The following is a 14,436-nucleotide window of genomic DNA, read 5'->3' on the forward strand; positions in this document are numbered from 1 at the left end:
ATTCTACACCGCATAGTCTCAGGACACACTTTCAAGGGTCAGGAGTGGTCTCTAGATTCTCCCTCTCCTCAGTCCTGTCCGATTTCCCAAGGCAGGCCCAGCCAGGCACTCCCAGAGGCAGCCTCATGTGGGCTGAGGGCTCAGGCCTTCCCAGCCTCACTCCCTGGATGGTGGTGGAAGTGGCCAGCTGCTGATGCCTCTCAGGAGCCCTTTCTGGCTGTGCATGCAGTGAGTCCAGGCGTGACTGACAGCCTCTGAGCTCCGGTTGCCCGCCTGGCACCTGGGTCCCTGACCACACCAGGATACAGTGCTCATTCTGCACTGGAGTCCGAGGCAGCTGGGGAAAAGGGGCACAGTGGCTGGACACAGCAGCATGCACCTGTAGTCCCAGCTACTCGAGAGGCTGAAGGAGGAGGATCATGAGTTTGAACCCAGCCTGGACAGTATGGCAACACCCCATTTCCAAAAGAGGCATCTTCCCCTGCCTCTCCTCTTAGCCATTTTCTTTTTCTTTCTTTTATTTTTATTTATTTATTTTTGGAGACAGGGTCTTGCGGTCACCCTGGCTGTAGTGCAGTGGCTCAATCATAGTTCACTGCAGCCTCAACCTCCTGAGCTCAAGGGATCCCCTGAGCCTTCCCGAGTAGCTAGGACTACAGGCATGCACCACCATGCCCAGCTAATTTAAAAAAAAAAATCTTTGTAGAGAGGGAGTCTCGCTATATTGCCCAGACTGGTCTCAAACTCCTGGGTTCAAGCGATCCTCCTGCCTCAGCCTCCCAAAGTGCTGGGATTATAGGCTGAGATGCCACACTCAGCCCAATCTCTTTCTTTCTTCAGAAAGTGATTTTTATAATTTGCAGCAATGTTTTCACTATGGAAGCTCTTTTCCCTAACCATCCATTTCCAAAAGTGAATTTCAACAGAAAAAAACACAACGTACATCAGTCACCAATGTGCCCAGGGTCTAATTTGTGAATAAAAGAGTAACTGGACTGGGGTCAGGCCCTGTGTGCATTTGGGATGTGGTGGGGGCTGCTCTCTCTGCTGAGTGCCAGAGTGAGGGTAGTTAGCAAGTCAACGAGGAGAAAAGGAACTCATGCCTTTCCACTCTGGGACAGTGAAAGTGAATGTGGACTTGACACTGTATGGTGTCCCCATTGATCAGTGATCTTTATTTTTTTATTTTTATTTATTTATTTATTTATTTTTGAGATGGAGTTTACTCTTGTCTCCCAGGCTCGACTGCAATAGCATGATCTTGGCTCACTGCAACCTCGGCCTCCCAGGTTCAAGCAATTCTCTTGCCTCAGCCTCCTCAGTAGCTAGGATTCAGGCACATGTCACCACACCTGGCTAATTTTTGTATTTTTAGTAGAGACGGGGTTTCACCATGTTGGACCAGGCTGGTCTTGAACTCCTGACCTCAGGTGATCCGCCCACCTCGGCCTCCCAAAGTGCTGGGATTACAAGCGTGAGCTACTGCACCCGGCCGATCAGTGATCTTTATACCATTAAAACAAACAAACAAACAAAAAACTGTGAACCTCTAAAGTTAATTAAATATAAAGTTGTTCTGGAAAGTTCTCCCTTGCCCTGCAGATTCCATTAAAAGCATTCCTGGCTGAGCACAGTGGCTCACACCTGTAATCCTAGCACTTTGGGAGGTCAAGGTAGGCGGATCACTTGAGGTCAGGCATTCAAGACCAGCCTGGCCAACATGGTGAAACCCCGTCTCTGCTAAAAAGACAAAAATTAGCCAGGTGTGGTGGCGCGTGCCTGTAATCCCAGCTACTCCATAGGGTGAGGCAGGAGAATTGCTTGAACCTGGGACATAGAGGTTGCAGTGAGCTGAGATCGCGCGACTGCACTCCAGCCTGGGTGACAGAGCGAGAGTCCATCTCAAAAAAAAAAAAAATCCTTGCAGTTCCTCCTGGGCTTCCACTTTGTGTTCCGTGATCTGCCATCCAGCTGACATGGAAGCCAGACATGCCCAAGGGAGCCCCGGCTGCCTGTGGCCAGTTCACTCCAGTGTGTCCGTTTTCAAAGGTAACACAGACCCCTGCTGGGCTGATGCTGCCCTTTAGAGCTCTCTGTGACAAACGGTCCTTTCTTCCTGCCCCCGTTCTGTTCCTTTGCTCTCCAGGGCTGGTTCATCACAGAGCTTCTCACACCAAACACAAAGCTTTAGATTAGGCAGGTTGTTAAAAAAAAAAAAAAATATATATATATATATATACACATATATATATGCATACATATGTGTGTGTGTATCTACCTATCTATCTATATTTATATATATATAATTTTTTTTTTAGCTGCAAAACTGCTATAAAAATGCCACTGGGTGTATGCAACTTCTGCCTTCCTTCATGGCCACCTCTCCCTGGGGAGAGTCTCAGCCAGCTCTCTGACCAAAGACTCAGTGCAATTTCAGAGGACTGCTGTTAGGATCATCAAGTTTCAAACGTTGATACAGATCTGGATCTTCAGGGCCCTTGGGAAAGGGGAAGTGAGGGGTATGAGCTTGTAAGAAGGCCCTGGGGAAGAAGGCACCAGCTTTCCAAGGGCCTTTCTTTCCTAATTAAAGACATAGCTCCCTGCCTACCCTCTACTTAGGTGCGGCAAGTGAGATGGCTTCTCTGCAGCCCTTAGAATAAAGGAGTAAGAGGAAAACCAAAGTTTCCGAGAATGTTCCGCCTACCCCTCATGAAAATGGCAATGCATCCTATTGCTTGATAATGCTAGAAGTTGGCTCTATTTAAAAACCACAAAACCTTTTTTTTTTTTTTTTTTGAGTCAGAGTCTCACTCTGTCACCCAGGCTGGAGTGCAGTGGTGCCATCTCAGCTCACTGCAACCTCTGCCTCCTGGGTTCAAGCAATTCTCCTGCCTCAGCCTCCCGAGTAGCTGGGACTACAGGCACCCGCCACCACGCTCGGCTTTTTGTATTTTTAGTAGAGATGGGGTTTCACCATATTGGCCAGGCTGGTCTCGAACCCCTGACCTCGTGATCTGCCTGCCTTGGCCTCTCAAAGTGCTGCGATTACAGGCGTGAGCCACCACGCCCGGCCCACAAAACCTTTTTCTTTTTTATACTTTTTTCTTTTTTGAGACGGAGTTTTGCTCTTGTCACCCAGGCTGGAGTGCAGTGGTGCAATCTCGGCTCACTGCAACCTCCACCTCCCAGATTCAGGCAATTCTCCTGCCTCAGCCTCCTGAGTAGTGGGGATTACAGGTGTGCACCACCATGCCTGGCTAATTTTTATATTTTTAGTAGAGACAGGGTTTCACCATGTTGGCCAGGCTGGTCTCGAACTCCTGACCTCAAGCGATCCGCCCTCCTTGGCCTCCCAAAGTGCTGGGATTACAGGCATGAGCCACCACACTGCATAAAATTCTATTGAATAGTTCCCCATAAGGTAAAGCCACTTTCCCAACAGAGCATTTAAAACCACTTCCATTCCCAGCATCTCTCACCACTAAGGGATGGATTTGGGGGGTAGGTTTCACCTATCACCTGAACTTTTGTCCCTCGTTGATTTGGAACTGAGTGGAGGGAGGCAGCGTGAGAGGCCTGCGTTTTGCAGGTGTTGGTTGTGGAGTGCAGGCTGGCCTGCCGCTGACGGCTGGGGCAGTGGCCATCTGGCACAGCGGTCCCTGGTTTTGGTAGTGGCTGTCATTCCCTTGGTGGCTATTTCTGAGTGCACTTAGGAACCTGTGTGGAAGCACAGCCTAGAGTCTCCCTCTTCAGGTCTCCCCATGAGTCCTGCAGCTGTAGATATTTCTGTTTTTATTTTCTTTTTCTTTTTCTTTTTCTTTTTTTTTGTTTTTTGAGATGGAGTCTTGCTCTGTCACCCAGGCTGGAGTGCAATGGCGCAATCTCGGCTCACTGCAGCCCCCGTCTCTCGGGTTCAAGCGATTCTCCTGTCTCAGCCTTTCAAGTAGCTGAGATTACAGGCACACGCTGCCACGCCCAGCTAATTTTTTGTATTTTAGTAGAGATGGGGTTTCACCGAGTTGCCTAGGCTGGACTTGAACTCCTGAGCTCAGGCAATCCACCCGCCTCGGCCTCCCAAAGTGCTAGGATTACAGGCATGAGCCACTGCGCCTGGCGATATTTCTTAATAAATTCATGTCTTGCTGAGTGTGGTGGCTCAAGCCTATAATCTCAGCACTTTGGGAGGCCAAGGCAGGAGGATCGCTTGAGGTCAGGAAATCAAGACCAGCCTGGGCAACATAAAAGACCCTATGTCTGTTTTAAAAAATTTAAAAATAAATAAATAAATAAACTTGTCTTGACGCTCGAGACCAGCCTAGGCAACATAGCCAGTCCCCCATTTCTACAAAAAATAAGAAAATTAGCCGGGTGCAGGGGCACATGCCTATAGTGCCAGCTACTTGGGAGGCAGAGGTGGGATGATCACTTGAGCCCAGGAGTTTGAGGCTGCAGTGAGCTATGATTGTACCACAGCACTCCAGGATGAGTGACAGGGGGACACCCGTCTCTAAAAGTAAATAAATACATAATAAAATCCTGTCTTTTTTTTTTTTTTTTGAGATGGAGTCTTGCTCTGTTGCACAGGCTGGAGTGCAATGGCGCGATGTCAGCTCACTGCAACCTCCACCTCCCGGGTTCAAGCGATTCTCCTGGGTCAGCCTCCTGACTAGCTGGGATTATAGGCGCGTGCCACCGCACCTGGCTAATTTTTGTATTTTTAGTAGAGACAGGGTTTTGCCATGTTGGCCAGGCTGGTCTCAAACTCCTGACCTCAAATGATCTGCCCACCTCGGCAGGTGAGGAGAGTTGATGTGAATTTCAGGAACACAGCCCGGGGCCAGGGCCATAGGGGGATGAGTGTTGGGCCTCCAGCTCCTCACACAGAGCTATCCTGCCCCAAACCACCCAGGGCATTTTTTGCCACCAGCTCCTGCCTCTGGATAATGTTTTTTTTTTTTTTTTTCAGATGGAGTCTTGCTCTGTTGCCCAGGCTGGAGTGCAGTGGTGTGATCTTGGCTCACTGTAACCTCCACCTCCCAGGTTCAAGCAATTCTCCTGCTTCAGGCTCCCGGGTAGCTGGGATGACAGGCGGGCACCACCATGACCAGCTAATTTTTGTATTTTTAGTAGAGTCAGGGTTTTACCATGTTGGCCAGGCTTTGATCCACCCACCTCAGCCTCCCAAAGTGCTGGGATTACGGGCATGAGCCACCGCGTCCAGCCTGCCTGTGGGCATTTTGTCTTTCTCCCTCTGTCCCCACTCTCACATCCCACCTCACATGCACAGAAGCTATTCCCTCCACCCTTCTTCTGTGCTTATTCTTGGAAAAAGACACAACAAACCCATGTACACTCATGCTGGTGATAAGACTGTTACCTGCTCCCCAGCAAAGCCTAAGCTGTGGTCACAGTTACAAAGGCCTATGGAAATCCAGATTTTTGTGCATACTTTTCTGATTTTTGTCTGTTAAAAACCAACCAGTGTGTGTTAAAATATTTTGTTCATGGGCAGCCTCTGGCCCACAAGACAGGGGAGAACGCCATGTGACAACAGAAGGTGGGAGGGACCTGTCAGAAGCCAAGGAATGCCAAACATGGCCAGCAAACCACCAGAAGTTAGGCTGAGTCAAGGAAGGGTTTTCCTCTGCAGGCTTCAGAGGGAGGACGACCCTGCCAACACCTTGATTTTGGACTCCTGAGCTCCAGAACCAGGAGACAATAGACTTCTGTGGCTTTCAGCCATTCAGTTGGTGGTGTTTTGTCATGGCAGACCAGCAAACAAACACAGATTTGATACTTTATGTCCTCTGGCCAAAGGTCGGACTTTAAGAAGTCACAGGGAGGCAGCTTTGTGTGCCATCTTGGAGGCCACCAGCTGGCAGGATGGCTCCATTCACATGGCCCGTCTTGCAAGAGGGTCCCAGGGCATTTAGGTCATTGAGTGAGTGTGTGCTCCCAGGAGCCAGCAGGGCATCTGGCATCACAAAGACATCCAGAAGTGAGTTTGAATTCTGTTTTCTCAGATGCCACAGCTCTCTTTAAGGACTCTGGCCCAGACTGTATTGGGGACTCACCTGCTGAGCCAGAATAAAAGTGCAGAAAGTGCACCCCAATCGCTGCCTCCCCTGAGAAGAGAAAGCCCATGGAGAGGGTGCTGGCTGGGACTCTGCCCGGCTGCACATGGACTCCTGCCTTCAGAATTGGCTTGGGGCTTTTGATAACAGGATTTCAAGGAGAGTGTCTGGGTTTATGGAAGTAGGGCCTCTAGACTGATAGCGGCTGCTTCTTCTTTAAAAAAAAAATCCTCTCTGAGCTAGATTCTAACATCAAGTCAGCAGGCAGAACCATTTTAAGAGGACAGGGCATGGTGGCTCACACCTGTAATCCCAGCACTTTGGGAGCCCGAGGCAGGTGGATCACTTGAGGTCAGGAGTTCGAGACCAGCCTGGCCAACATGGTGAAACCCCCGTCTCCACTAAAACTACAAAAATTGGCTGGGCATGGTGGCGTGTGCCTGTAATCCTAGCTACTTGGGAGGCTAAGGCAGGAGAATCACTTGAACCAGGGAGGCAGAGGTTGCAGTGAGCAGAGATCACGACGCTGCACTCCAGCCTGGGCGACAGAGCGAAACTCCGTCTAAAAAAACAAAACAAAACAAACAAACAAAAAAAAAACAGGACAGGACAGATCTGCTGAGAGCTAGGGTCACAGGATCCAGAACCCGAGCAGGGTCTCAGGTTGCATGGAATCAGGAATCAGCCTGAATTATTCCTCAGAGTGGACACAGAAGAAACCCAGGTGGAAACCAAGTGTGGATGTGTGGCTAAAGAGGGAGCAAGGCAGCCCCAGCCGAGCCGCGTGGGCGGATCCCAGGTGCAGGCAGAGCGGCAGCCGCAGGACTCAGAGGTTAGGTGGGCTCTGGAAGTGGGTGCCAGGCAGGGCAAGGCCCCGTGCGCAGTAGAGAGTGTCAGTCAAAGCAAGCGCACTGGGGACTTGTCCCTGTGGGGAGTTCTCATGTTGTGGCCCAAGGGTGGAGAGTTGGGCTAAAGAAGCAAGCTCAGGCCAGATTGGGCACAGTGGCTCACACTTGTAATTTCAGTACTTTGGGAGGTTGAGGTGGGAGGATCACTTGAGTCCAGGCGTTCAAGAGCAGCCTGGGCAACAGAGCAAGACCTTGTTTCTAGAAGAAATTTAAAAAATAATGATAATTAGCCAGGCATGGTAGTGTGCGCCTGTAGTCCCAGCTACTCCAGAGGTTGATGGGAGGATCGCTTGAGCCAGGAGTTAGAGGCTGCAGTGAGCCATGATCATGCCACTGAACTTGAGACTTGGCAGCAGAGTGAGATCATCTCTAAAAAATAAAAATAATAAAAAATAATAAGAAAATAAAGAAGCAGGCTCAGGCCAGAGAACAAGAGGAATGGGCCTCTTATCTCCTCTGCATGACTGAAGAGAATTCTGCTCATGTCTTTCACAGGCAGAGTGGCCGGGTAAATAGATACAGGATGCCCAGGGCACTGAGAGCACGGGTCCACGCATCCGGTTATCCTGCATCTGGCCTTTGCCCGTGGAGCTTTCAGTCATGGCCTCCGGTAACATGCACATTGGAAAGCTCACCCCTGACTTCAAGGCCACTGCCGTGGTGGATGGCACCTACAGGGAGGTAAAGCTGTTGGACTACAGAGGGAAGCACGTGGTCCTCTTTTCCATCCTCTGGACTTCACTTTTTTTTTTTTTTTTTTAAACAGAGTCTAGCTCTGTTGTCCAAGCTGGGGTGCAGTGGCTCGATGTCAGCTAACTGCAACCTCTGCCTCGTGGGTTCAAGCGATTCTCTTGCCTCAGCCTCCCAAGTAGCTGGGACTACAAGCACATGCCACCTTGCCCTGCTAATTTTGTATTTTTAGTAGAGATGGGATTTCACCATGTTGGCCAGGTCAGTCTTGAACTCCTGACCTCAGGTGATTTGCCAGCCTCAGCCTCCCAAAGTGCTGGGATTACAGGTGTGAGCCACTGAGCCTTGGACTTCACTTTCGTGTGCCCCCACAGAGATCATCGCATTCAGCGACCATGCTGAGGGCTTCCGAAAGCTGCAAAGTGCTGGGGACCTCGGTGGGCTCAGTTCACCCACCTGGCTTGGATCAACATCCCCCGGAAGGAGGGAGGCTTTGAGTCCCTGGACACCCCTCTGCTTGCTGACGTGACCTGAAGTTGTCTGAGAATTACGGCGTGTTGAAAACAGACGAGGGCATTGTCTGCAGGGGCTTTTTTTTTTTTTTTTTGAGACGGAGTGGCCCAGGCTGGAGTGCAATGATGCAATCTCGGCTCACTGCAACCTTCGCCTCTCCGGTTCAAGTGATTCTCCTGCCTCAGCTTCCCGAGTACCTGGGATTACTGGAGTGCGCGACCACGCCTGGCTAATTTTTGTATTTTTAGTAGAGACGGGGTTTCTTCACGTCAGTCAGGCTGGTCTCGAACTCCTGACCTCAGGTGATCTGCCTGCCTCGGCCTCCCAAAGTGCTGGGATTACATCTGTGAGCCACCACGCCTGGCCTGCAGGGACCTCTTTATCATCCATGGCAAGGATGTCCTTCCCCAGATCGCTGTTAATGATTGGCCTGTGGGACACTTTGTGGATGAGGCCCTGCGGCTGGTCCAGGCCTTCCAGTACACAGACGAGCACCCGGAAATTTGTCCTGCTGGCTGGAAGCCTGGCAGTGACATGATCAAGCCCAGCGTGAATGACAGCAAGGAATATTTCTCCAAACACAACTAGGCTGGCTGATGGATCATGAGCTTGTGCCCCTCCATGAGTGCCCTGTGTTGACCCAGGAAAGGCCAGATCTTCCTCTCTAAACTGTACAGCCTGGGACCCTGGAGAGCTAGGCCAAGGCCTTCTCATGCTTCCAACTGGGAGCTGGTGAATAGTGACACCCTCCCCAAAACCCACCCAGCTGCACACAGACCTGGAAATGACCAATAAAGTATTAGGGACAGAAAATAAATAAATGAATAAATAAATTAATTAATTAAATACAGGACAACCAGTTAAATCTGAATTTCAGATAAACAGTGAATAATTTATAATGTAAGTATGTGCAAATACTCCATGGGAGGCCCGAGCATGATGACTCGCATCTGTAATCCCAGCACTTTGGGAGGCTGAGGCAGTGTTTGAGCCAAGGAGTTAGAGACCAGCCTGGGCAACATAGAAAGACCTTATATTTGAAAACATTTAGAAATTAGCCAGGCATGGTGTTGTGCGCCTGTAATTCTGGCTACGTGACAAGCTGAGGCAGGAGGATTGCTTGAGCCCAGGAGGTCGAGGCTGCAGTGAGTTGAGATTACACCACTGCAGTCCAACCTGGGCAACAGAGTGAGGCCTTGTCTCAAAAAACAAAGGCAAAACAAACAAACAAACAAACAAACAAAAAACTCAATCAAACCAACAAAAAAACAGACATTGCATGGGACATATTTATATACTAAAACAATAAATAATTCCAATGTATATCCTAAAAATTGCACAGGACATCCTTATACTAAAAAATTCTTCACTACCTGAAATTCTGATATAACTGGGTATCCTGCATTTTCATTTGCCAAATCTGGCAGCCATATCCCAGGCAACAAAGAAAGCACCTCGGCCGGGTGCAGTGGCTCATGCCTGCAATCCGTCTCAAAAAAAAAAAAAAGTACCTCCTTCAGCATCACATTTTGCATCGACACTCAATAAATATCCACATCAAGGAGGAAAAAAAAGCCACCGGGCTGCAGAGAAGAGCAGGGTTATTGGAACCAGCAGAAACATGGTAAATTAAACTCCTCTTCCTGCCTCAAGCATTGAAGGTCATAGTGACGACAACTCTCTAGAAACTCAACCCAAACAGCTCCAGACCAAACCCGAGGAAGTCGCAGGAGTTTTCGACTTCTCTTATAATTACTACCCGAAGGCACCATATTGAATGCAGCTTGGGATGCCAGCAGCGTGGTTTGGGACGAGGCCCAGTGCAGTTTTTCCCAGAGCTATTATAGGGAAGTAGTCATGAAACAAGACGGATGCGCTATGGTTGAGAACTGCAGAGCTGACCCAAAATATTTCTAATGTGTGGAACTAGCTGGCAAGCGGAGAGCCTGAGAAAACAAAAAGAGCTGCTTGACTGCTTTGAAATGCCCAGATCCTCGAAGTGTGGCTTTTCCTTCATGCTATTAGCTGTGTTCCAACAGGCAGAGAGCCAAGGGAAGAATTCCAGTGGGGGCCATCTTGGCAGGCGCACAGTTTGGCCTTGACAGCTTCATTTGAAGGGCAAGACAGGGTGAGAAGGAGGGAGGGCCCGGGGGAATCGGGAGGCCAGAGGACAAGCCCTTACCTCTGTGGGGTGCCTCAGAGGGTCACCAACACTCACAAGCCACTCACTTCTTGCAAAGACTGCCTGAAACAGGTACTGTTTTCTCCATTTTACAGACGGGGAAAGTGATGTTTCCAAAGTTATCTAGTGGCTTAGAATTCAAACTCAACACTTTTTTTGTTTTGTTTTGTTTTGTTGAGGGGGGAGGTCTTGCTATGTTGCCCAGGCTGGACTCAAACTCCTGGCCTCAAGCAATCCTCCCTCCTCAGCCTCCCAAAGTGCTGGGATTACAAATGTGAGCCACCACTCCCAGCCTCAAACCTTTTTTATTCATACTTTTTTATATTTATAATAAATATATTATACTTTTTAATTTATTTTTTGCATAGGTAATATATTCACATGGTTCAAAACCCAAAATATACTTAGGGATATAGTGGAAATCCTGTCTCCCTGGGCCCCAGCCTCCTGCCTCTCCTCTGCAGAAGCCCTTGATGTTTTTCATTTCTTAAGTAACCTTCCAGAGATTTCTTTCTTTTCTTTTTTTTTTGAGACAGAGTCTTGCTCTGTCACCCAGGCTGGAGTGCAGTGGGCACAATCTCAGCTCACTGCAACCTCTGCCTTTCAGGTTCAAGTGATTTTCTGGCCTCAGCCTCCCTAGAAGCTGGGATTACAGGCGCCCGACACCACGCCCAGCTAATTTTTTGTATTTTTATTAGTGACGGGGTTTCACCATGTTGGCCAATTTGGTCTTGAACTCCTGACCTCAGGTGATCTGCCCATCTCGGCCTCCCAAAGTGCTGGGATTACAGGCATGAGCCACCACGCCTAGCCCAGAGAGATTTTATAAATACATATTTTTCAGCTTTTCTTTTTTTAGACAGATGATATTTACTATACACACTACTCTGCTATTCTCACTTAAATCAAGGTCTTTCAGTCTTGATCTAGTGCTCCATCTTTTATTATTATTATTATTATTATTATTATTATTATTATTATTATTTTAGAGACAGGGTCTCACTGTGTTGCCCAAGCTGGAGTGCAGCCATTTCTCTTACCGTCTCCTGTCTCTGAAGAGCAGGAGGAAGTAAAAGTTGAAAAACAATAGCAATGAAGTCAGTGGCAAGACCAGCCGGTGCCACTGATGACCTGGCCTGAGGTTAAAAGATTAACGCCCCCCCACTCTAACCACATGTGCTCTCAATCCATCACGACCCTTTCTTTCACGTGGACCCCCTTAGAGTTGTAAGCCCTTAAAAGGGCCAGGAACTCTGTCTTCGGGGAGCTGGGCTCTTAAGACGTGAGTCTGCCAACGCTCCCAGCCGAATAAAAACCTCTTCCTTCTTCAATCCGGCGTCTGAGGAGTTTTGTCTGCAGCCAGTCCTGCTACATTTCTTGGTTCCCTGACCAGGAAGCGAGGTGATTAAGGGACGGGTCGAGGCAGCCCCTTAGGCCTGCCCTGTGGAACATCCCTGCAGGGGACTCTGACCAGCTCGAGCGAGGTGGATCCTGAGAGGGCTCCCGGGTAAGCAATTGCCCCGGTGGAACGCCTCATCAGAGCAGTGTGTGGCAGGCCCCCGCGGAGGATCAACGCAGTGGCTGAACACTGGGAAGGAATGGGCACTTGGAGTCCGGACATCTGAAACTTGGTAAGACTGGTCTTTGGAACTTGCTCGCTCCATTTGAGTGGAAGCATGGCCTGATCACCCACGGTGTGCCTGTACCGGCACTTTGGTTCTTGTTTTTGACTTGACTTGAATTGCTTGATACTATGGTTTTGGTTTTGACCTGGCTTGGATTTCTGGATACTCTGATTTTGGTTTTGATTCTGGCCTGGTGTAAACTGAAAAAGTGTGTGTGTGTCCTTTTTACCCATTCTTTGTTCTGTGGTGTGCGTGTGGTATGAGTGTGGTGTTTTGTCTTCAGGAAACATGGGTCAGACAAAAGTAAGCCCACTCCACAAGGAGCTATGTTGAAAAATTCCAAGGAAGGATTTAGTGGAGACTATGGGGTTACTATGACACCAGGGAAACATAGAACTTCGTGTGAAATAGATTGGCCAACATTAGAAGTGGGTTGGCCATCAGAAGGAAGCCTGGACAGGTCCCTTGTTTCTAAGGTGTGGCACAAGGTAACTGGTAAAGGATACCTAGACCAGTTCCCATACATAGACACTTGGTTACAGCTGGTGCTAGACCCCCCACAGTGACTAAGAGGGCAGACAGCAGCAGTGCTAGTAGCAAAGGGACAGATAGCTAAGGAAGGATCCCGCTCCACCCGCCCAGGGAAATCAACACCAGAAGTTCTGTTCGACCCATCATCAGAAGATCCATTGCAGGAGATGGCACCAGTGATCCCAGTGGTGTCCTCCCCTTACCAGGGAAAGAGGCTCCCCACAGTAGAGCCCACAGTGCTTGTGCCTCCGCAAAACAAGCATATCCGTAGGCCACCCAGAGTAGACAAGAGAGGAGGTGAAGACTTGGGAGAAACCCCTCCCTTAGCAGCTCTTTTATGACCCAAAACTGGGATACAAATGCCCCTGAGAGAGCAGCGGTATACTGGGATAGATGAAGATGGTCACATGGTGGAGAGGCGTGTTTTTGTGTGCCAGCCCTTCACCTCTGCCGACCTTCTCAACTGGAAAAACCCATCCTATACTGAAAAGCCACAAGCTCTAATTGATTTGCTCCAAACTATTATCCAGACCCACAACCCCACCTGGGCTGATTGCCACCAGTTGCTCATGTTCCTCTTTAACACAGATGAAAGGTGGAGAGTGCTCCAAGCAGCAACTAAGTGGCTAGAGGAACATGCACCAGCTGATTACCAAAACCCCCAAGGGTATGTAAGGACCCCGTTACCAGGAACCAACCCCCAGTGGGACCCAAATGAAAGAAAGGATAAGCAAAGGCTAAACTGATACAGGGAAGCTCTCTTGGAAGGATTAAAGAGGGGAGCCCAGAAGGCTACAAACGTTACTAAGGTCTCTGAGGTCATTCAGGGAAAAGAAGAAAGTCCAGCACAATTCTATGAGAGACTGTGTGAGGCCTATCGTATGTATACTCCCTTTGATCCTGATAGCCTTAAAAATCAGTGCATGATTAACATGGCTTTACTTAGTCAAAGCGCAGAAAACATTAGAAGAAAACTGCAGAAACAGGCTGGGTTTGCAGGGATGAACACATCAGTTATTAGAAATAGCTAACCAGGTGTTTGTAAACAGGGATGCAGTAAGCCATAAGGAAAACCGCAAAGAGAATGAATGTCAGGCCCGGCGAAATGCTGACCTGTTAGCTGCAGCAATCAGAGGGGTCCCCACAAAGAGGCAAGGGAAGGGGGGTCCTGGGAAAGAAACTCAGCTTGGCTGTCAGAGTTTGCAGCGTAACCAGTGTGCTTATTGTAAAAAAAAAAAAAAAAAAAAAAAAAGACATTGGAAGAACAAATGCCCTCAGCTAAAAAGAAAACAAGGTGACTCAGAGCAGGAGGCCCCAGACAAGGAGGAAGGGGCCCTGCTCAACCTGGCAGAAGGGTTACTGGACTGAGGGGGACCGGGCTCAAGTGCCCCCAAAGAGCCTATGGTTAGAATGATAGTCGGGGGTAAAGACATTGATTTTCTTTTAGATGCCGGTTCTGAACATTCAGTAGTAACCGCCCCAGTCACCCCCTTATCCAAAAAGACTATTGACATAATCAGAGCCATGGGGGTTTCAGCAAAGCAAGCTTTCTGCTGGCCCCGGACTCGTGCTGTAGGAGGACATAAAGTGATTCATCAGTTTTTGTACATGCCTGACTGTCCCTTGCCCTTGTTGGGAAGGGACTTGCTTAGCAAGCTGAGAGCCACTATCTCTTTTACAGAGCATGGCTCTTTGCTGCTAACATTACCCAGAACGGGAGTCATTATGACCCTTACGGTTCCCCGAGAGGAGGAACGGAGACTTTTCTTAACTGAGCCAAGCCAAGAGATAAGACCAGCTCTGGCTAAGCGGTGGCCAAGAGTATGGGCAGAAGACAACCCTCCAGGGTTGGCAGTCAACCAAGCCCACGTACTTGTAGAAGTTAAGCCTGGGGCCCAGCTGGTTAGGCAAAA

The 14,436-nt window shown here is 49.0% G+C and overlaps 1 pseudogene, besides 2 other annotated features; it reads left to right on the top strand.

Moving 5' to 3' along the window:
* Positions 1,414-1,914: an enhancer, noted in NCBI's record as "H3K4me1 hESC enhancer chr10:35247828-35248328 (GRCh37/hg19 assembly coordinates)". NCBI's record gives its function as "activates a minimal SCP1, AML or CMV promoter by ChIP-STARR-seq in naive H9 embryonic stem cells {active_cell/tissue: H9 hESC(naive)}" and the evidence as "EXISTENCE:reporter gene assay evidence [ECO:0000049][PMID:30033119]".
* Positions 1,915-2,415: an enhancer, noted in NCBI's record as "H3K4me1 hESC enhancer chr10:35248329-35248829 (GRCh37/hg19 assembly coordinates)". NCBI's record gives its function as "activates a minimal SCP1, AML or CMV promoter by ChIP-STARR-seq in naive H9 embryonic stem cells {active_cell/tissue: H9 hESC(naive)}" and the evidence as "EXISTENCE:reporter gene assay evidence [ECO:0000049][PMID:30033119]".
* PRDX2P2 (peroxiredoxin 2 pseudogene 2) lies at positions 7,514-8,968 on the top strand (annotated as a pseudogene).

The sequence above is a fragment of the Homo sapiens genome, chromosome 10 (assembly GCF_000001405.40).
Source record: "Homo sapiens chromosome 10, GRCh38.p14 Primary Assembly".
Taxonomy (NCBI): Eukaryota; Metazoa; Chordata; class Mammalia; order Primates; family Hominidae; genus Homo; species Homo sapiens.